At 46.0% G+C, this 22764-nt stretch overlaps 1 annotated feature.

Annotated features, from left to right (window-relative positions):
- Positions 377-577: a silencer, noted in NCBI's record as "peak2593 fragment used in MPRA reporter construct". NCBI's record gives its function as "represses an SCP1 promoter by STARR-seq MPRAs in K562 erythroleukemia cells {active_cell/tissue: K562}" and the evidence as "EXISTENCE:reporter gene assay evidence [ECO:0000049][PMID:32103011]".

Here is a 22764-nt window from a genome sequence, read left to right as displayed (position 1 = left end):
ACCATTTGGCGTCCCCACTGTCTGCTCTGACCTGGAGCCAGGGATTGGTTGGTGACCAGTATCTCAGTGGCTGTTTTCCATGACAACTGTTTCTGTCTGAGCTCATTCATCAATTTCTATGCAACAAAATCGGTTTGTGGAAAACTTGCATGAGTCCCTGAAATCTGGGGGCAAAGGCGGGGCTCGGAGATACAAGACAGGTTTTTCCTGGGATGATGGGAAAATTCCCAGCTCCCTCCAGGCCTCTCTTCTGGTCTCCAGCCATAGCCTCACTTTTTCCATGGCCTTATCAGTTTCTGATAGGCAAGGACTAATCCAGCATTCAAGGGAGAGGAAACCCTGGGAAAAATAAAGCCCAGCAGGTCCCCCCACCACACACACGGAGACCCACATAGAACTTCCTGGAAACACAACGCCACCAAGGTTGGTCACATCTCCTCTTTTGCTGCACGTGTGGACTCTGGACTAGGGAGGAAGCCAAGCTGAACAGGAAGTCCTCAGTGATAGAAGGCCTCAGATAGCCTGAGAAGCCTGGGTCACGCCTTTGAAATGGGGGAGGGAGAAGGGACTCCTTGAGAAGGTCTTTTTTTTTTTTTTTTTTTCTGGAGACAAGTCTCACTGTCACCCAGGCTGGAGTACAGTGGCATGATCATAGCTCACTGTGGACTCTAGTTCCTGGGCTCAAGGATCCAACCTCCCAAGGAGCTGAGACTATAGGCACACACCGCCACACCTGGCTAATATTTTATTTTTTGTAGAGATGGAGTCTCACTATGTCGCTCAGGCTGGTCTTGGGCTCCCGGCCTCAAGCAATCTTCTCACCTTGGCCTCCCGAAGTGCCAGGATTATAGGCGTGAACCACTGTGAACAGCCTCCCAGAGAGGGTCTTTTGGGAGCTGTGTATAGTTAGTCCATTTGGGCCACTCATCAAATATTTCTGGTTTTCTCTCTTCCTGGGCTCCAAGTAAGATCATTAACACTTCCTGACCCCTGTGTGAGCGAGTGGGACCAGTGCTAGCCAGTGAGTTGCTAGTGAAAGTGACATACAGACCTGCATTGCTTAATAATGTGGATATGTTCTGAAAAATGTGTCATTAGGTTATTTCGTTGTTGTTGAAATACCAAAGAGTGCACTTCTGTTAACCTAGATGTAACAGCCCACTACACGTCTAGGCTGTGTGGTATAGTCCATTACTCCTAGGCTACAAACCTGTACAGCTTGTGACTGTACTGAATACTGTAGGCAATCGTAACCCAGTGGTAAGTATTTGTGTATCTAAATATATTCAAACAGAAAAGGTGCAGTGAAAAAAAATGGTATTATAATCTTATGGGACTACTGTCATATAACCAAAACAACATTTGTCATTGACTAAAACAATGCTATAAAATGCACAGCTAACTGTCTAATATGGTAGCCGCTGGACACATGTGGCCATTAAGCACTCGAAACGTGTCCAGTCTAAACTGAAGTGTTCTGTAAGTGCATGATACACAGAGGATTTCAAAAACTCAGTATGAAAAAAGAATATAAAATATTTCATTAATAATTGTTGTATTCATATTATAATGATAGTATTGTCAAAATAATAACAATTTGGATATACTGGGGTAAGTTAAATATACTATTCACTTTAATTTCAGCTGTTTCATTTTAGTATGTCTTATGTGGCTATTAGAAAATTTTAAATTACATTTATGGTTCAATTTATACTGATCCAGAACAATGCTTGGCCTATAGTAGTTATTCCATAAATGTTGAACTGAGACAGGTAGAGCGTCCTGGCTTACAGAAGAGCATGTCCAGAATTATCCTAGGGAACTGCACTAAGAAGAAAAGAAAACATCTAATATGGGCAAAATTGCAGAAATGGTTTCAATATGAAAAAGGAAATGCTTCTCATTTTGATTGTGCATTGCATTAGTCTGTTCTCACGCTGCTAATATAAAGACATACACAAGACTGGGTAATTTACAAAGAAAAGAGATTTAATTGATTCACAGTTCTGCAAGGCTAGGGAGGCCTCAGGAAATTTGCAATCCTGACACAAGGGAAAGCAAATACGTCCTTCTTCACAGGGTGGCAACAAGGAGAAGAATGAGCAAAGTTGGGGAAAGCCCCTTATAAAACCATCAGATCTTGTGAGAAGTCACTCACCATCATGAGAACAGCATGGAGGTAACTGCCCCCATGATTCAATTACCTCCTACTGGCCCCTCCCACAACATGTGGGTATTATGAAAACTACAATTCAAGATGAGATTTGGGTGGGGACACAGCCAAACCATATCATGCATGGAGATGAGCGACTATGCATTTCTTCTCTCATCTTCTGTCCCTGTCTACTCTCCCCTAACCATGACGATGACCGTTTCTCAGGCCTCAGGGATGTCATTTTCTGTGGCCACGTCTGCCCTCCCACTAAAGAAGGCCCCATATCTCTTGTGGTCCCCATTTTATTCCTGGCATCTATCATGGTACCTGGCTTAAATTAGGTATTCAAAAAATGTTTGTGCAAATAATAAATTATTCCTCCAGAGGATCTTTGGACTCTTACGCTCTTTATCTCCAACTTTTAATATGTGTGCAGTGTTTTATAAGAGCAAGAGCTTAAGATTCAAGCTGTGCGTGCTTAAGCAAGAATACAGCCTCTTAAGCTTCGCTGTTTCCATCTGTTAAATGGGAATATCACTACTTCTCTTAATATTTACTTCACAGGGCTATTGTGGGGCCACATATCGAAAGTAAAGAGTGAGTGAAGGAGGTAAGAATTGGGAATGTGTTAACTCAGCAGGCTTGGGCCACAATCCCAAAAAACACAGCCCTAGATCGCATGATACAAAATGTTGAAATCTTGAAATTCAAAATCCTGAAAATATAATTCTAAAAAAAATTTTTTTTAATTATTTAAAGACATTAATTTACCTTTTTGAAAAGAAATTTATTTCAAAACATACAAAAACATGACAGAACAGTTCATGGGCCACGTTATACAATAAAATAGACAATATTTTATTGCCTGTTTTATTTTTGCAAGCATCAACAGTCAGGTATACTAATGACAGTCACTTGGGTTAACAGCTATGAAGAGACAAACCATACACACAAAGAAATAGGTCGAAAACCGAGATGTATAAAGGCATATTTCTATGGCTGGTAATTGTGTGCACCCGCTTTGTAACTGTGGTCATCTGAAATACTATGAAGCACAACCTAAAGATCGCGCCACTGCACTCCAGCCTGGGCAACAGAGCGAGACTGTGTCTCAAAAAAAAAAAAAAAAAAAAAAAGATTGGTCAAAAATTGCAACGGGCACATAAGCATTTGCCCAAAGAATTGAGATCTCAAGAAATTTATCTCTCCACAAATGCACATGTACAAATCAGATATCTCTTTATTTATTGAGGAAGTTTCAATGTTTTTGCCTACATGCACAATGCTCACACACAAGTCAACGTTGTGACAATGCACTTTCATGAATTCAGATTTGCCAAAAAAAAAAGCATAAAACAAAATGAGAACCTCTAAAAGTCGTTACACAATTTATACCTTCAGTATTGGAAATGATGAGCAGATGAAGTACACAGCATAGTAAATTGTAACAAATAAAGCTGACAATTTAAAATAATGAGAAAAAACACTATCAAAAACTAAAAAGAAAATTTGACATATGAAAAAGTGAATTACAGGGATAGGTTATGGGCAATTGCACGGAGGTAGTCCACAAAAGTTGGCGAGCCTCATGATCACCAACTATATTTTGAAGGCTTGCGTCATGATGAATAGCTGTTTATTTTCTTTTAGGACGTGGCTTCTCTCAGGGGATATGTTCAAATTCACTTTGTACATGGCACTGCTCTTTTTGAAATTCTTCTACGATTTAATACACACCAACATGTGCACTCCCTATTAAATTTTCCCATCTTCAGCCATGCTTCTATGCTGTTTGGGGTATGTGGAAAGTTATTCAACATGCACTCATACTCAGACCACAGATTTGGTGGAAACAATATTGGTAATCGAACAGCGACACAGGTTTATAAGTGTCTTCTTATCCTACCATGCACGTAATTATTTTTGAAGCCATGAGTAAGTTCGCTGCCTCCTTCAGGCAAATGTGGCTTTAATTCCTTAAAATCTCCTGGAATTTCATCAGCCGGAAGGAATGCCAATGCAGACAAATGACGCATTTTTAAACTGAAGTTTTTCTGGTTGCCCTATTGAGTGGCCAATCCCCTTATCTGAATTTTCTGCCAAATGCATTGGGCTGAACGGAAAAAACAAAGTTTATTGGTGACACCTTGAAATTCACTTTTAGGAGCCTTGCTTGCACCTAATTCCAAATCTGCCATGGTTTGGGGATTCAACTGAAATCCATTTGCTTCTGCAAAGTCTACCAAATCTTCAAATAAGCATTTATAAAGTGCTCCATTTTCCAAGTCATTAATACATAAATAAGCAGATTTATTAAAATTTTTAATTTTAGAATTTCCAGATCCAACAGGGGCATAAATGGGATAATTGTTGATTTAAAAAAATAGTTGGGAAAGTGTAATACATTAGCCAAAGTGAAGGGTGCACTAGTTTCTTTATGTTGGCTTTAATGGTAAATATAAGAAGTCTATCTTCTTCAACAGTCAAATCCCTAACCAAGAACAGTTCAACCTCTAAAACACTATAGGAACCTCTGTATCAGCAAGTGTTTTTGGTTCTGGAAGTTGTTGAGCTTATTGAATTTTTTGTTGTTGTTTTTTGTTTGTTTTTTAAAATTTTTTTCGTGTGTACATAGTGGGTGTATATATTGTCAAATTGTTTTTATTCTCTGATGAAGGGTGTTTTTTGAAAGCAAACATGGAGATGTGTGCGAAGAGGCAGAAGCCATACATGATTGAACAAATTGGCAAGGGAAATTTCATGCATTTTTCACCTGTGGTTTCACTTCTTCTATGTTTGAAACACTCAAACATTGAGAGCAGATCTTCCCACCTTGTCCACTCAGATTCACACAGTAATCTCTGGAAACACTCTCACAGACACATCCAAAATAATACCTTTACCAGATATTCCTTAATCTAGTCAAGTGGATATGTAAAATTAAGTCCACAAGTCCACCTCTTGTCAACTTGGCCTCCCTTTACATCTTCTTGAACTGTGCTTAATTTCCAAATAAAGACAATAACTAGGTGATAATTCCACCTAATGTAATGCAACTAACATGACGCAGCTATCCTGCATACAACAAAATAAGTGCCCATCCCTTCTTCGGAATTTCACATTCAGGATTTCAACTTTCAGGATTGTGATTTTTGGGATTTTAGACTTTAGAGGTTTTGATCTTTTGGGATTTCACCATTTGGGATTATGGTGTTTGGGATTGTGTCTTTCAAGATTATGATCCGACCCCATAGAAAGATGGATTTGTTGGAGTGGGAGATTGCCTAACTTGTAACAGAACACTTGAATTCAATTCTGGGTTTCATTCCTTTGGGTCTCAGTTTCCCCAACTGCAAAATGGGGGCGGGCTGGTCTCTGTTCCACCCATTTTGAAGAGTCATTGAAAGAAGGGCCATAAAGACGGATGTAAAATCACTTTATGAACTGTGATACCCTTTACACATGCAAATGGTTATTGATTATCCTTAGAGCATCTGTCAGCAAAATAGCCTGCTTTGTGAAGCCGTGTCAATTGGCCAAACAATGATTTGGAGCAAGACTGGGTCTTGAAAACCAGGTAACATCTAGACATCTGAGTCCGAGACAAAGAAAATCTCCAGGCAATGTTGAAACCACAGGAGTTTGGCTGCCGCTGGCTACGGAGCAGGGCTGGGTATGAAGCATTAGTCCTGGGAGGATGGGAGCTCAGTCTCCTGCTTGCCAGCCTCTTCCTTGGGGCACCACTGTAGCCTCAGAATGCTCAGGTCTGAGCCTCTCTGCCTCCTACAGCTCCACGTTCTACATTAAAAACTGTGCCCTGCAGATATTGGCTTCCCCACGGGGACCCAGGCATGTTTCAGTTTGAGGGAATGATGGGTTGAATGCTGGAGCAGAGGGCCCTCTCATAAATGGCTGACATGGCTCTCTGAACATCAAACAGCTCTTAGAAATAATATTTCGAAGAGTTAAGTGTAAATGAATGGGAAACACATGGATTAAATTTCCATGAAATACATATGCACGTAAAAATGAAAGAAAGGCTTTCAGGCACTGCGTACTGGGACTCATTCTACCTAGAACATAATAAAATACAATAAAATGCTAACCTCGGAGGCAGAGGACATATCCCAGAAGGATTCTCTTCCTCCAGGACCTGACAGCACCCTCCAGGTCTGATAAGGTAGAGGGTGAAGAAGAAATGAAGCCAAGGGAGAGAAAAGGGCAGTGCCCCAAAGGACAGGCCGGGAAGCTGTCCTGGGGTGTGGCTGCTAACTCCTTCCTGCTCCTTAACCCCCATCACCTTAGAATGGAGGGCACTCACAGGAAAGCCTCTCAAAGCTCTAGCTGCAGAACCGCTGGTAACTGGCTGTTTAAAAAGCCAGCAGCCAGTCCCTGGGCCCTGCTCAGCGAGCTGCAGAGCTGATTGTGTGATGCATCAGAAGAAATGCAAGCTAAATAATGTTTAACTGACAGAGCAGATTGTTTACTTTCAAATAATTGCACTAAATTGCAGTGCTTAAAAAGTACTTAGACTTTGCGACTTGGCCTGCTCCAGTGGGGCTGGGGGAGGGTGGGCCTGGGGGAGGGGTGGAAGACCCTTGGGATGGGCAGAGGAAGGAATCAACTGTGGGGAAGATCCCAGGGGTGGGCTGGTGGGTTGGCCACGAGCCCACACCCTTCTCGGCTCTGCTGCATCTCATTAGTCAGCCTGCAGCCCACCTGGGCACTGGTATCTCGTTGCACCTTGTAAGACTCTTCTCTTCCTGAACAGAGTGGTTTGTCCTCAGTGAATGGATCCCTCATAGCCCTGGAGGGTTCTTGGTACCCACACAGTGGGGTTAAATGTTCTGAACACCTGCACTTTCAGCAGAAGAAGCATTCCCACAAGGACAGGGGAGCCAAGGATCCTGAGCAGGAACCCGGGGTCCCCAGGAGCTGGGTTTTCGCAGGTCATTAAAACATTGAACTATTTCTGCACTGGTTGGGACACAACTGCTGTCTGCCCTCATGAGTGCCCCCTACCTTCCGGCCAGTCCCGATCCTTTCTCTGGGACTCCCAAGATGACTCCACATTCAGAAACTGCGGAGTCGACACCTGGTGCTGAAGGGATCCTTCAGGATCCTGGTCCAGCTCATGGGTGTCCATTCCAAATAGCTGATGCCCACATCGTGATAGTTATCCCATGCTGTGATGTTAATTTCACGACTGCCCGTGGCCAGGTTTGTGGCCGTGAGTCTTGTGTAAGCCAACAGGATGGGGACACCTGATGGTAGAAGATGTTCCCAGATTCTAGGATGGTGCTTGTCAGAACCCTGACCCACGCCACCCTTACCCGATCCCTGCCACCTCCATCCCAGGCTCGGCTCTTTAAAACATTTGGCATTACAGGCATAATATCTAAGCTTTATAACATGCTTCTCAAGGGCCTGTGAAAATATCTGAGAACTGAAAAAAAAAAATATTTTGGCTCTAAAATATGAAAAGAAAACCACTAAATTAAAATTAATAAATGTTTAAATGTCTACAAACCATAACATGACATCAACTACTCAACTGCAAGCCAACTCAATTTGTGTCTACTTATATAAAAATTATGTTTAATGTGGACTGTGGGTGCATTTTAATTTGTTTGATAGGATGGAAGCAGGGTTTTCTAATGTCAGAGCTCCTGGGGTTACCAAGGGTCAGAAAGGGCCATAAGTCCAGGACCGAGATCCTATTCTAGCCGTGTCCACTATCACCTCCATATGGCCCAGCTCCTGCCTCTGACAGAACTCCAGGACCCTGTCTTCAAGTGCAGATTAAATGTTTCCTGCCAGGTGACCAGTACTTGCCTCCAACTCAACCCGCCCCAAAGCCGCCGTGTCTTCACCCAAATTGCTGCACCCTGCTCCCACAACACATCCTCTCTTTCCTGTTTTCAACAACACCAAACACATTTTCTCGGCCCTCCTGGAACTCTAAGTCATCTCTGCATCCTCCTCTTCTTCATTCTTCAGTCCATTAGTCCGTTCTGTGCTTCCCTTTCTTTCCTCCCTTTCTTTCCTATTGCTCGCACTGATCCCTTCTCTGTCACCCCCAGTGGCACCACCTTAGCCTACCCAAGCCAGGGGAAGCAAGTAAGTTTCCTCTCAAGTCCCAGCTCTGACGCATTGATAGTATCCACCTGGATTACAGGGTGGAGAAAGATTTCCAGGCCTCGATGGGGGGGGACGGCCGTGATCCATTAGTGATGTCTGTCATGGACATAGGAAGAGAGGGTGGCAGCGCAAATTTTGCCTTCCCAGTCTAGGCCTTTTCAAGTTGACACCTGAATGGAGGTACTTGCTACCTACCTGGCCTCCCAGGCTTTAATCACTTCCGTCCTTCACATTGTCCTACATATTGTTACAAGATCAATCAAAGACAATACTTGAATTGAACAAGTTTCCTGCCCAGGCTATCTTTGACTTTTTACCAAACATGAGATCAAGCCCAGTCTTGTGGGCTGGCATTTAGAGCCTACATGCTCTGACTCCAGCCTTCTTCCTCCCTTAATTTCCCACTAACCCCCCAGCACCACCACCTTGCTCCAACTAACCTGACCTGGCCATCACTTCCTGACTATGCCTCTCTCCTCTCACCTCCATACTGTTGCCCATGATCCTCTCCCAATCTGGAATCCCCTCCTGTTTCCACACCATCCTCCCACATCTTCCATCTGAGTGTCAAGGCATAGCTTAATAATAGCTAATTTATTGAGTGTTCATTCTATGACAAGTGTGATTGTAAATGGTTCACCCAGATTAACTCATTTAGTCCCCATAACAGTGCAATGAAGGAAGTATCTATCATGAGTATTTCCATTTTATAGATGAGGAAACTGAGGCACATAGACGTTAAGTAACTAGCCTAAGGTCACAGCTTACAAGGATCAGAGCTGGAGTAAGAACCCAGAAGTCTGGCTCCAGAGTCTGCACCTTGGTTATCATGTTATGTTGCCCCTTAATTCTCACTTCCTCTAGACAGACCTCCCCAACCCCCCAACCCCTCCCCACTGCCATTTATTATCTGTGCCACTTAGGTTTATCATATGTTGTCTTTGCTTACCTCTTTTAGCCTCCTCTGCCGTATTGTCAGGTATCAGTGAGGACAAAAACAAATCAAGCCCATGGGCAAGGACCAACAGCATGAATAATATAACCACTCAGCCAACAAGTCCCTCCTAGGGTGCCTTTTATGCGTTATTTTATTTGGTTTTCATTCTGGGGTATAGAAGGGTATTATTATACAAACTTTACATGTTTTTATTTTCTTTTATTTCTTTTTGTTTGCCTGTTTGTTTGTTTTTTAAGAGACAAGGTCTCACTCTGTTGCCCAAGCTGATCTCGAACTCCTGGGTTCAAGCAATCATTCCGTCTTGGCCTCCCAAAGTGCTGGGATCACAGGCATGAGATACTGCTGCTGACTTATCCATATTTTATGTATAAAGAAATGGAGACCCGAAAAGTTAAGAAACTTGCCCAAGTTCACACAGCAATTAGCCATCCTTTTCCCCCTACCTGACAATTTCCCTTTTCTGAGTGTCCATGGAAGAGAAGAATGTGGAGAGGGCATAGACAGTGGGCTCCTTCCTTCTGTCCCACTACACTTGTCTGTCAAGAAGATGAGCCCTCTGAGGGGAGACGTGAGGGCGCTGATGTCTGGGGGAAGGGCCATGCCTGCAGCCTCACAGCAGACTGCTAACCACAGCTATGGGCTGACTTGACCTGGGCAGGGTCCTTTTCTTTTTTTCTTCTCTCTTCTCTGCAGTTCTTTCTTCGCCTGTCTCTTTTCAACCTCACTACTTCCTGTAAAATCTGATGTTAATCATCTCTGTGGGATTGGGCCCATAAAGCCCTCTCTGTGGGACAAGCAGGTCCACTGGCCATTCTGTGGGGTCACCTATGGGCGTGCCCAGGTAATCCCAAGAGAAGGGATGTCTCAAAACAGAGTCTATCAACTTTACTTCCGGGATGGAAATTGCATTTGTGTTTTTGAGAAAAAGATGGAGCAAAAAAGACCCTTCCCACCACCCTCGATGAAATGAGTAAATGCCATCAACAAAGCGAGTTCACAAACCTTTCTGATCTGAGATAGTTTGTTTTACCTGAGTTTCTCCTAAAATCCTAAATGAGTGCAATTGCCAGCTTCTAAATTTAGGCATTTGTGGGCGCCTGTTGGCAGAAAGAAGAAAGACTGGCTTCAGTGCTGTGGTTTGCCTTGAAACCCAGTCAAGCCCCAAATTCTAAACACAAAGCAGCTGTTTGCCCAGAATCCGAGCCGGGATGTTTCATATCGATGGCTCTTCCTCCCGCCTCTTTCGCCCCTTCTCCTTTCTCCTCTCCCTTTCTTCATTACTGAAGTGCCAAAAAAGCTCGATGTGAATGAACATTGGGATGGGTGCGAATTCAAGCCCGCATTATCTGCCATAGACGATCAGGGATTCTGGGGCGGGCCTGTGGGCCAGCCATCCGGGCAGACCTGCCCTGCGCCACTGTTTACAGAAGAAAGGAAAAAATAGAAATCGATCTACGGCGTTGGTACAGGGGCCGGGTCAGGCAGGGCAGAGTATTCAGTTGCCACTCTTTCAGCCCCACGAAATGCCAGCTGATCTCTATCGGGCCCAAACTGGGGTATCTTTAAGGTAAATCTCCTGTTCCACACTCAGAGCCAGGCCTCTACTTTCCAATGCCTGGGCAGAGCGGTCCAGCACTGAATCTGCCCTGATCGGGTGACGTCTCGGGTATGGTAGCAAGGCGGGCATGCTGACATAAACCCTCCTTGCCACTGGTCTGTGGCTCTCTCTGGAGGAAGGTATTGTCCCCACCCAGGCCTGGCCCCAACAGTTTCCATAAAGCTGAGTCATATTCCAGATGACAAAGATACATGCAGTTGGACTTTCTCTTTTGAAATGTCCAGTTCTTTAATTTATTAAAAATCAATAACAGGGGAATATGTATGATATCTATCTGAGACATAAGACAAGAGGTATATTGGCTGAGTGGCTACTCACCAGGTGCTGTGGGTGGCATTTTGTATCCATTATCCTCATATAGGGATGGGCATACTGTTTTCCATTTTCCACATGAGAAGGCTGAGGTGCAGAGAGGTTAAATAGCTTTTCCAAGAAAATGCAGCTAAAGTGACAAAGCCAGGAATTGAACAAAAGTCCACTTGTTTCTAAAGCCTATTTCTGTCGCCCACAGCCAACCATCTCCCACCAATAGCAAAAGTTTTTTATATTAATCTGCATTTTATTTCTAGATGTCTAAATTTCCCAGTGAATGCCCCCTTGAGCCTCAGTTTCTCCATCTGTAAAATTAGGCAGTTGGACAAAGGCAGCTCTGGCATTTTCTTCCCCAGCTCTGATATTTCTGTAATTCTGTGTCTATGAATACATTCAGAGGCTTCCAAGCAATAAATCAAGTTGTTTAAAAATTACAAATAAGCAAGGAAACCAGGACTCACAGTGGCTGGGGCCTTTAAGCCGTGGTCTATAAAAATAAAGACCGACTTGAGAGGCTTACTGTTGGCAGGGGAGGTGCCCAGCTGAACTCGGCTCTTGTGCAGAATGTTGCCACCCTCCCTAAAATGGCTGGGTGGATGGAGCCCGCTCTGCAGGTTGGGCCTCGGTTCGAGGTGTGCCCCCATCGGGCCATGGGCCAGGGAGAAATGGGACTTCCTGTGGGATGGCGGGAGGGAGCTCAGGGGGCCACGTGTGGGTGTCAGACCATGCAGCGGGCAGATTTGGCAGGACCCATGGTGTTTTCTTTGTGCAGAGAGCTCTTAGGAGCCAGTTTTCCAATCCTTCGCTCCGGTCTATGACCCCTACCTTCCCTCTCCTGCCCCCCTCTTCCCGCTCCCAACGAGTGTGGCGGGAACCTGGCCAATGACAGAGAAAATGAAGACATTTCTCAAATGGCATGTTCCAGTGGGTGAGCGCTGGCAGGCAGAGGCTGCAGGGAAGTGGAGCCGGTTCCCTGTCCATCCCCTAAATATCCTAAGTACGTTCCCTCCTTGGCCGCAAAACCACAGCAATGTCTCCTTGCCTTCCCCTCCTCCCTTAGACCCTGGGTCTGCAAGGAGCTCAGCCCACCGCAAGGTCCCAGAGGTGCCGCCGCTGCCAAGGGAGGGGCCTCAGCCAGCCTGGCGCTCGGCGGGCCTCCAGGCTTGTGCCGGCCATCCGTAGCTTGTCCTCCCCAGGCATCCAGCCGCCATGGCCAGAGCCGCTTTCCAGGGGCAAGTGAGTCTACATGAGGAAGGCCCTCTAAGCCCTTGTTGCTCCTTCCTTCTTCTCCTGTTCCTTAGTGAGAACTCTGGGCACTGGTGGGCATGGAGCGGAACTACTGGGCACTCACTCCCAGGTCCAGACCCGTTTCTGACATTGACCCTTTGCGTCACCCTTGGAAAGCCACTTCCCTCTCCAGGCCTCTGTGGTATCATGAAAATGTTGGGGAAGATGAGTGGCTTTGGAACTTTCTTTTTGGAGTTTGATGGAAAGGACAAGAGAAAGGCAGCCAACCAGAGGTTCCAGGCCCTCAGCTCTCAGGGCAGCTCCATTTTCCACTGCTTTCAGACATGTTTATATGTTTTCACCTATTTTATACATTCACTCAACCAACATTCTTTGCATGCACTGAGCTATACGTGTCAAGACTACCACTGATGTCACAGGTCCCTGTCTCCATGGGGGTTTCCAATGCAACCAGGGATAGAATTTGCACCAGCAGAAGTGACTGGCAACTGGAACTAATGAGGAAAGGTCTGCAAGGCCCTTCATAGAGTTGGAGGAGATGAGTTTTGGGCAGAGTGACTCTTTATCCCCATCCTTCTACTTAGGGTTTTCCTTGAGTCCTGGAGTCAGAAAGGTCTTCTAAGGTCTTTCCTTCGAATTGGTTTCTCTTGTTCCACTTTCTCAAGATAACCCTCCAAATACTGGTACTGGCAGTGTTCTGGTGTTTTCCTTCATGCTTTGCTCTCTCCGTCTTGGCGTCCTCAACACCTCTAATGGCTTCCAATCCCTGAAGTCAGCATTTTCAGCCCAGTCCACTGTCACTGTCCAAGATCTAGACCTGCAGTTCTACTCACCTCCAGGCAGCTTCCCAATGTGCCTTCCTGTACCTCTCATTCAACAAGGCGCCAGAGTAACCGTCACCATGCTCCCAAATCAGCCCTTCCTCTGATGTCTCCATCTTGGTTCTTGGCACCACTATGTCCCAGAATTACCCAGGTCAAATCTGAGACTTGAGCTTGGCTGTGCCTTGAGTCTTCCCCACGCTCCTGCCTGGCACTAACTCAGTATCTCCTCACAGTATTGCTTCCTTCTTTTCTCTTCTCTCTAGTTGAGGACCTTGTGGCCACTGCCTGGATCCTTGAAGTAGCCACCATGGAGCTTTCCTTCACTTCCTTAGGGGAAAACTTGCTGCTTCTGCTAAGCTGAACTTTGGCTTCACTTCCGAGATCAGATACCAATTTTATTTCCTTGCTTCTAGGTCTTGGCCCCTGAGTACAATGGAACCCAGATGTGGCAAATGAAAAATAGTAACAACAGTATTTCCTGTCTTGTATACTCTTCTAGAACCTTGCCACTCCCCTTAATATATGAAGGCTTAAGGATCCTCCCTTTGAGCCTGCGGAGAGGGGATTATTTTTGTGACTGACTCCATTAGATCACTTTCAAGGCTAGGCCATAAACGGCAATACCACTTCCACCTGACATTCTCTCTTGGGACATATACCTTTGAAACCCAGAGCTGCCATAAGAGAGGTCCAGTGACACCAAAGCCACTGTGCCACAAAGACCAGATGAGAGAGAGAGTCCTGAGACCGTGAGATAATAATAAATAATTATTGTTGTTCAAGCCACAAATTTTAAAGTGGTTCATCACACAGAAGAAAGTTACTAGAACATCAAGCTTTGGAGCCAGAAAGCCTGGCTTTGTAGCTTAGCTCCAAGACAAGCTGCCCCAGCCAGGTCCCTTACTTTCTGAACTATCAGAGTCTCCTCATCTGTAAGATGGAAGTAGACATACTCACCCAGCAGGCTTACCGTGGGGCTCACAGATGCCAGGGATTGTGCTGGCACAGTAGCTCTCACACTGCTGTTCTTGATGAGTGATAGTTTGCAGTATCATTTCCTCTATTGCCTCTGAGGTGCTCCTAACCTCAGTCTCCATTTAGCCAAATTCCACATTGCTGAAACCCTTCCCTTTCAGTGATTTCCTTCCTGTCTTTCTGGCTGCAAGAGAATAATCTCAACTCAGAACTTGATACCATCTGTCTGATACTTGTCACACCTTTTTTTATCTTGTGGATATTTGCATATTGGTGCAAGATTTAAACATGCCTTACTAGCTAGCCAGGGAAATACTATGGGTAGGGGCTGTGGGTCACATCTCCGTCATCCTACATCCCCTTGGACACTGGACACTTCCTTATTCAAACATAACCAAGTACAATAAATATTTGTTGACCAGGATAAATGGACAATAGAGCATATCTTTCAGAAGATCCTACTGATTTCTGTCCTGAAATCCATATGCTAGAGTCTTAGCTGCGTTGGCCTGGGGCCTCTCAACACCCGTGCAGCCTGTCTTGTTGGGACCCTTCACCTGCACTCCATGAATTATCTAACAGGAAGCCACAATGCATCCATGATCAACACCAGCCAGTCAGTCAGCACCTGCTGCCTCAAACAAGCAGAATGTGAATAATGAGAGAGACGCAGGTGTTTCCTGAAGTGTGACTGACCCAAGGGTAAGTTTGGAGGATGAACCAGGCAGGCCCCAGGAAAACTCTTATCTCAGCAAAGTGAGTAGATTTGCCCAGAGCATGAAAAGATCTTGGCCAAGAAGGAGATGCAGCTCAGAGGATGAGGACCCTGTAGCCCCAAGGCTCCTTCCTCACATGCACTATCCCTCTATTAGAGGGACAAGACTGCAGTGTCATCTGCAAACATCAACACCATGCTAGGTTAAGCACAGACACAGTCCCCATTTCTCCCCCCGAGCTTGCTTCATTCATGTAATTATTCATTCAGCAAACGCTTACTTCTGGCCCACTATGTGCCAGAGATGTGACTGGAACAAAATGGTGATCAAGATACAGGCCCTTCCCTGAAGGAGCTCCTGTTATAAGGCATGCATGGGTCTGTACATGAGTGGGGTGCAAATAATTGAACAGGTAATTGGCCCAATGTAGAGGCTGTGGATGCACCTTGGAATTCAGGGAAGCTTTGCAGAGACAGTGGCTACCAAGCTGAGTCATGAACAGCTAGCCAGGTAAAAGAATGATTGGAGTGCTATGGGGGGAATTGGAGGCATTCCAGGCCACAAGGACAGCAGGCACAGAGTTCTGGAGGTGAATGAGGATGCAGTACATTGGTGGGACTCATGTCATCAAGCAACGCTGATTAAGAGAGAGTGTGAGAGGCAGGTGGCAAGAGAGCAGGATGGGGAGATGCTTGGGGTTCAAATCACTTGGGGCCTCGTGCGCCATGTTAACCAGCTTGGCTTCATCTTTGAGTCACTCATGGGCCTTTGACCTGTGGGTCAAGACTGCATTTTAGAAACAGCCCATCAACAGCACAGAGAATGGATCCGAGGGGCCATGACTGGTGCAAGTCCACAATTAGAAGGTAATTGTAGTCATCCAGGCAAGCATTTGGTGTAGTCCAGACTAGGAGGATGGCAGAAGGCAAGAGAGGGACAAGTGGATGGCCACAGACAGGTAGAAGAGACAGAAAACACATGGAAATTTGAATTACAAACAGTGCAAGGAAGTATAATAGCAAAGTCAAAGGAGCGGGGCACACAGCCATTCCCAGGGAGGAGAGGTTCTCAGTCTTTAGCTGTGAGCACCAGCTTCCTTTTGAACCTTGTTTCTAACCAGGTGAGTGTTGGTCAGGAGACACACAGAAGCAAGGTCACTAGGAGAAGCAAGAGGCCTGGGTCGCCTCCTACCCACCAAGGCCCCTGGTGCTCCTGTCCCCATGATGGGGACTTGGCCAACACCCATTCCTCAAGGGAGTAGAGCCTGCATGGCCCTCTGGACTCCAGGATACCGGGACTCTGAGTTGCAGGAGGGAGCAGTGTGGAATGGAGGAAATGACCTTCTAATAGCACTACCATGCGCCCCATGCCCAAGGCTTAGCAACCAGAAATGAGAGGAAAACAAATCAGAGGGCTCAGATGGTCACTAAGAAGGATTCTAAGGTTTGCAGTCAACCTGTCAGGAGGCCTTGCCACCTGAAGACCCAAGAACACTCTGAGTCCTTGCTCAGTATTGGGCCTCAGTGTGTCTGTGGTTCCTGGCTGGGCTGGATGGCACCTCTTCTCAGAACCACCTCCTTCCCTCTGCCTAATGGATTCCAGGAAGCGGGTAGAAGGTTTGGTTAATGGCTGCTTACTTGTCCATAGAGAGTGGTCAGAGTCCTGGGACAGTATTAGTCTAAGTGAGCAAACATGAGCATTTACCTATATGCATGCATGTGTTGCATCTAACCATGTCTCTGGGAGGTATTGTGGATGTACGTGTGTGTGCTGTTTACACATACATATGTGTGTGCCTATGTGTGTGGTCACTGAATCATGTGTGAGTTTACCTTTCTGTCTTTCTGTGCTTGTGTATACAAATAAATGCAGTCAATGCATGGGCGTATGCGTGGTGTGCATCTGTATGTTCCTGTGAGTGACTATTTGTATCAGTTGGCTTCTGCTGTGTAACGAGTCATCCTAAAGCTTAGCAACAAACATTTATAATTTCTCATAATTCTGTACGTTGACTGGAAGGTTCTTCTAGTCCAGACCAGCTTAGGTAAACTCTGTTCATGTGTCTGTGGCAGCTGGTAGCTCAGCTGGAGAGGGTAAGAGGTCTACTATGGCATCATTCATGTATCTGGTAGTAGCAGTTGATGCAACATCAGAAACTGACTTGGCCACGTGGTCTCACCCTCCAGCAAGTTAGCCAGGGCTTACTTATATGGCAGTTTTAAGGTTCTAAGCACAGCAAGAGCAAGTCTTCATATATAAACACTTTTCAATATCTGCTTGCATTACATTTGCTATTGTCCCACTGCCCAAATCAAGTCACATAGGTAAGCCCAGAGTCAGCAGGGCTGGGGGAAATTACCAAGGGCATGGATGCAGGAAGAGGACTTATTGCTCCCATTTTTGCAAAAGATTTACCAAGAGTACAATGTGTGTGCACTTGTAGGGGTGTACCCATGTGTACCCCTCTATGGACATGCATACCTATTTATGTACCTGTATGTGCATGCATGTGTATGGATATGGGTATGTGTGTGGTTGCCCCAAAGAACAGCTGTTGGAAACAGTGTGTGAGCACAGCTGGGTGTGCCTCTGTGTGTACATGCACGTGTGTCTATGTGGATGTACCTGGATGTGCATTCATGTGTATAAATGTGCACATGGTGTGCATGCATGATTGCTCAAAAGAGCACAGCAGAAGTATGTATATGAGCACATGAGTGCCCCTCTGTGTACATGCACACACATTCCTGCATGTCATGGATATGTGCATGGTGTGCATATGTGACTGCCTGATTGAGCATGTGCAGGAGCCTTTGAGCACACACGTTGTGCCCCTGTATATATATGCATCTGGGAAAGGAGCCAGAGCTCAGGCTCGGTCTTGGCCTGGGTCTAGACTATTGCTTTGGCATTTCCCCAGCTGGTGAGATTAATGAAGGTCGCTAGTGGTCTCCACTCCATACCTGCTGCCACCCAGCTCCACCTGCTGCCACTGTCCAGCGATACCTTTCCTTCATCATTGTCCACTTCAGCTCTCCCTGTCTCTTGGCTCACCTTTCCCCACCTCCAGGAAGCTTTCCTAAGTGGAACTACATCCCAGGAATGTGGGCATTACTATTATGCTCTTTTACAGATGTTAAAACTGAGGCTTAGATAGGCTAAGTGACTTTTCTAAGGCCACACAGCTAGTAAGTGGGAGGCCCAGTCTGTCTGACCCCAAAGCCCAGGCTAGGAACCATTCTGCATGCAGACATCAGGAGCTGAATGATGCTGGTCCCGGAATCACAGTGGTAGAGCCAACAGTGAGCGGGTGGTCCATGCTCTGGGCCCCAGCCTGGGCCTCCAGGGCTCCCCAGACCCTTGCCTGGGTTGCTGGTTATGTTAGCGCTAACCACTGTCTCCTGTGCAGGGGACACTGTTGTTCACGTGTCTGCCTCCCCCTTTTGCCTGAAAGCCCCTGGAGGAAAGAATCCACATCATATGCAGTCCCATGGCCTCCCTGCCCACATTCCCATACGTGGTGCCTTATATACAGTAGGTGCTCCATCCACACTGCTCAGAAAGGGGTTCAGTCTGCTCCTTCTCTGGCTGTGGGAGCCAATGAAAAAGGAGGCTGGTGGCCTCTTCCCTGGCTGGAAACAACTTCTCTCCAACGACCCCAAGTCCTACCTCCACCCACCCTTACGCAGGTCCTGTTTCCTAGCCCCCAGGTGGTGAAGTTAGTGGCCATGTTAGTGAAGTCAGTGATTATGCAATACGCACTCACGTAAGTGCAGTAAAAATAGTATTAATTTTAATCCCCAAAAGAAGATAAGTAGCTGCGGTGATGTGAACATTTACCACTATATTTTATCTATTATCAGATGCCTTTTTTTTGTTTGTTTCCATTTTAACATTCTGAAATTGGGCCCTCCTTACAAATGATGATGTCTTCAACTATTAGCCGAGTGGCTGTCACGACACAGCTGTCACTGCTTGGGCGAGCTTGGTTACTGCTGTTCCCACTGTTGTCACCTCACTGGCGTTCCCTGCAGTGTTGTCGTCCCCAAACTAAATGTAATTCCCATTTTACGTGTCTTCACAACCATTGGTCTATGATTCAGTGATGAAATGACAAGTGACTGTGCACACAGAAAGGTACAGTTAAGGACACCAAGCCATATGGGCAGGATTCAGGAGGCAGATGTTCATTGTTGAAGAAATGACCACAGTGTGCTATTTTTTTTTTTTTTTTTTGCAAAGCTACAACAAAGTGCATTATGGCACATAAGACAGGAAGATATCCCAAAGAGATAAAGTTGTGGGTTTTGTTTTTATGTTTGTTTGTTTGGTTGGTTGGTGGGTTTTTTTTTTTTTTTTTTTTGAGACGGATTCTTGCTCTGTCGCCTAGGCTGGAGTGCAATGGCATGATCTTGGCTCACTGCAAGCTCCATCTCCCAGGTTCTCGCCATTCTCCTGCCTCAGCCTCTTGAGTAGCTGGGACTACAGGCGCCTGCCACCATGCCCGGCTAATTTTTTGTATTTTTAGTAGGGACGGGGTTTCACTGTGTTAGCCAGGATGGTCTCAATCTCCTGACCTCATGATCCACCTGCCTCAGCCTCCCAAAGTGCTGGGATAACAGGTGTTAGCCAGCGCTCCCAGCCAACTTGTGTTTTTTTTATGTTACTGAGATACACTCTAAAGGATTGTCTATCACTCACCAAGAATGAATTGAAGGCAGGAGAAATTGCCAAATACATAGAAATACATTAAACACATTTCAAAGCAACAAGAGACTGGTCTGACTCATTGCTGTCTCACATTATTGTTAAGATATTGCACCAGAGTTTAACAGATATTTTTCTTTTTTAGTGGTACATAAAACAATGTCATGTCCTGCAATTGATAGTCTTAGATTAGATGCCATATGACACATGTTCAACCCTCAACATGTTTATCTCATTTAAGCCTCTCCAAACCCTGGGATATGGGCGTTACTATTATCCCCTTTTACAGATGTTAAAACTGAGGCTCAGAGAGGTTCAATGACTTGCCTAAGGTCACACAGCTATTATGAGGGAGGACTATTCTATTTGACCTCAAAGCCCAGACTGGGAACCATTCCACATACCAGGACTTGAATGATGCTGGTTCCAGAGTCACAGTGGTGGAGCTGTGCATCTTTCACCCCAACAGCGATTGGGTGGTTCATGCTCTGGGCTTCAGCCTGGCAACAGGGGAGTCAGGAGTCCTGATGGCTCACATTCACTCCAGTCAGCTTCAGGAGGGCCCCACAAGCCCAGACTCTATGTCTCAGGGGCTGAAAAGATTTCCTCAGTCTTCTCCTCTCTGTCTCACCTGTGGATAGTAATCAGGCAGCCAAGTTGACCCGTCATGTTCTAAATAACTCCTTCCTTATATATGTACCAACCTATTAGCACAAAGGCACTATCAATCCTCAAATGTCAGTGATTTGCAGACCATTGTCCTAATCTTTATGTCTTCTGTATGTCTTCTGCTATTGCTTACTTAATTGCTTTTATATCTAAATCAGTCTACTTTTCATGTCTGCATCAGTCAGGATATACCTGATTATGCTGCAGTAACAAGCATCCCCACAAATCTTAGCAGCTGATAATAATGCAGGATTCTAGTCTAAGGTGAATTTCCTGTCCACAAAAGAAAAGGTCATGTAGAGGAGGTGAACTGTGAACCTAAGAAGTAGCACCTAAGCCAAAAGGAAAAAAGGAAAACACTCCAGGCAAGGGGAAGTCAGGTTCTTCTTGAACCCATAATTGTCTCACCTGTCTAATGGGTGTTAGCAATTATCTCTCCCTTGCTTCCTTCCAATTGCCCTTCAAGAATCCAATGAGAATGCGTAGTCACTTGAAAAGATTGCTTTTTAGCTGCTGCAGGTGATCGCGTTGATGTTCTCACCATATCCTGTGGGCCTTCCCCTTTCTTCTCGCCCTGATCAACTCCCAACTGCTAGTACCTGGATCATTCTGCTCGAAAGCGGAAGGCTGTTCTGGCTGTGTGCATGGCAGGCTGGAGCTTCCGGGGCCTTGCTACCCTGTGGCAGTCACCCTCTGTCAATGACTGATGGGATGTGGTGTACATTTCCCCAGCTCCCTGGAGTCTTGGGATAACTCTAAGATGATGCTCTGCCTTGTTTTCTGGAGTTCTCAGGGGACTAAGCTTCTGTATAACGCAGGAGCTAAATAATGCACACTGCGTGTGTTACTGTCCCTGCCTCGCAGCCCTGTTCCTGCACTTCCTAAATTAACCACTTGCTCTCAATTCCTTGTCTCGGGCTTTGCTTCTGGAGAAACCCAAACTAAGAGGGCTATAAAAACCCACTTTGTAGAAGAGACGGAAGAGGCATTACTCTACTTCAGGCAGAGTGTGATGCCCAGCATCGATTCCTGCTATGTACTTTGCAAGTGGCGGTTTGCTAGATATTTGCTCCAAAGTCCAAGTCTGCTACAAACAGAATCAGGGGTTGCTGGGGATGGTGTCTGCAGGAGCAGGGACGGTGCTCACTGAAGCTCTCCTGAAGGCCTGGCCTGGAGCACCTTTACAACGTGCCCCTACTTCAGTGTCAAGGATCAGGACATCAAGGCCCAGAGAGAGGCTGTTCAAGATTGTATAGACTGAAGATGGAGACTGGAGACTGGGATCCTTTTAAACCCATATCAGGGCACAAACCCACAGATGGAATTGGTTGAGGCCTCTCTTGAAGCCCTTTTCCTCTCCTCCAGGTTTAGGATGCTGTTCGCGATGGAAAGGAAGTCCCTGGCCAACACTGGTGCCTGCTCTGGCCCTTTTATAGGAGCATCTCCTCCTGCCTTCAGGTCTTCCAGAGCCCAGCCTCTGCTCGCTGGTCCTACATCTTTTCTTTTTCTTCTTCTTTTTTTTTTTTTTTTTTTTTTTGAGACAGAGTCTCACTCTGTCACCCAGGCTGGAGTGCAGTGGCGTGATCTCGGCTCACTGCAACCTCAGCCTCCCAGGTTCAAGCAATTCTCCTGCCTCAGTCTCCCAAGTAGCTGGGATTACCGGCATCTGCCACCACACCCAGCTAATTTTTGTGTTTTTGGTAGAGACAGGGTTTCACCATGTTGGCCAGGCTGGTCTCAAACTCCTGAACGCAAGTGATCTGCCTGCCTCAGCCTCCCAAAGTGCTGGGATTACAGGTGTGATGGTCCCACCTCTTGTCTTGCCACTCTGCCCCTCATCGTCTCTGCATCAGCATCTTATCACTGTTCAGTTCCCAGGACTGTTCCCTGCTCTTCACATCTGTGTCTTAGCATGTGCTGACCCCTCACCATGCTCCTCCATTCCCTCCTCTTGCCTGCTTTGCCCAACCAAATCCTACTCATCCTCCATTTCTTAGCTGGAGTGTCACTTCCTCCAGGAGGCCTCCCTGCTTTACCCACATACAAATTCTTGCAGTTCCCCCTTGACAACTCATGTCACCCACGTGTTGTGTGTCTGCCAGGTCACTGGCTCCATGCCTGAATACGGTGCCTGTTTTCCATGCCATCCCAGGGCCCAGCACCAGCCCTAGCCTACAGCAGAATCCACTGGGCACTGTGGGGCAAATGGGTGTTGGCGGGGCCCCCTCAGTACCACCGAGACAGGGGCCCAAGGGTTGAGTTATCAAGACAGAGGCCAGGGAGAGAAAACAAGATCCCCCTTTGATTGAGCCAATGAAGTCACTGGTGAGAGAGCCCTAGGAGTTATAAATAGCCCTGGAAATCATGCATATTACATTAGGGGTGTTGGTGACAGCTTAAGTATATTTCCATAAGGTTCCATTATATTTAAGTATTAGTTA

This window comes from Homo sapiens, chromosome 16, assembly GCF_000001405.40.
Source record: "Homo sapiens chromosome 16, GRCh38.p14 Primary Assembly".
In the NCBI taxonomy this organism is placed as follows: Eukaryota; Metazoa; Chordata; class Mammalia; order Primates; family Hominidae; genus Homo; species Homo sapiens.
Note: the sequence above shows the minus strand (reverse complement) of the source record. Positions and strands in the feature narration are given on the sequence as shown.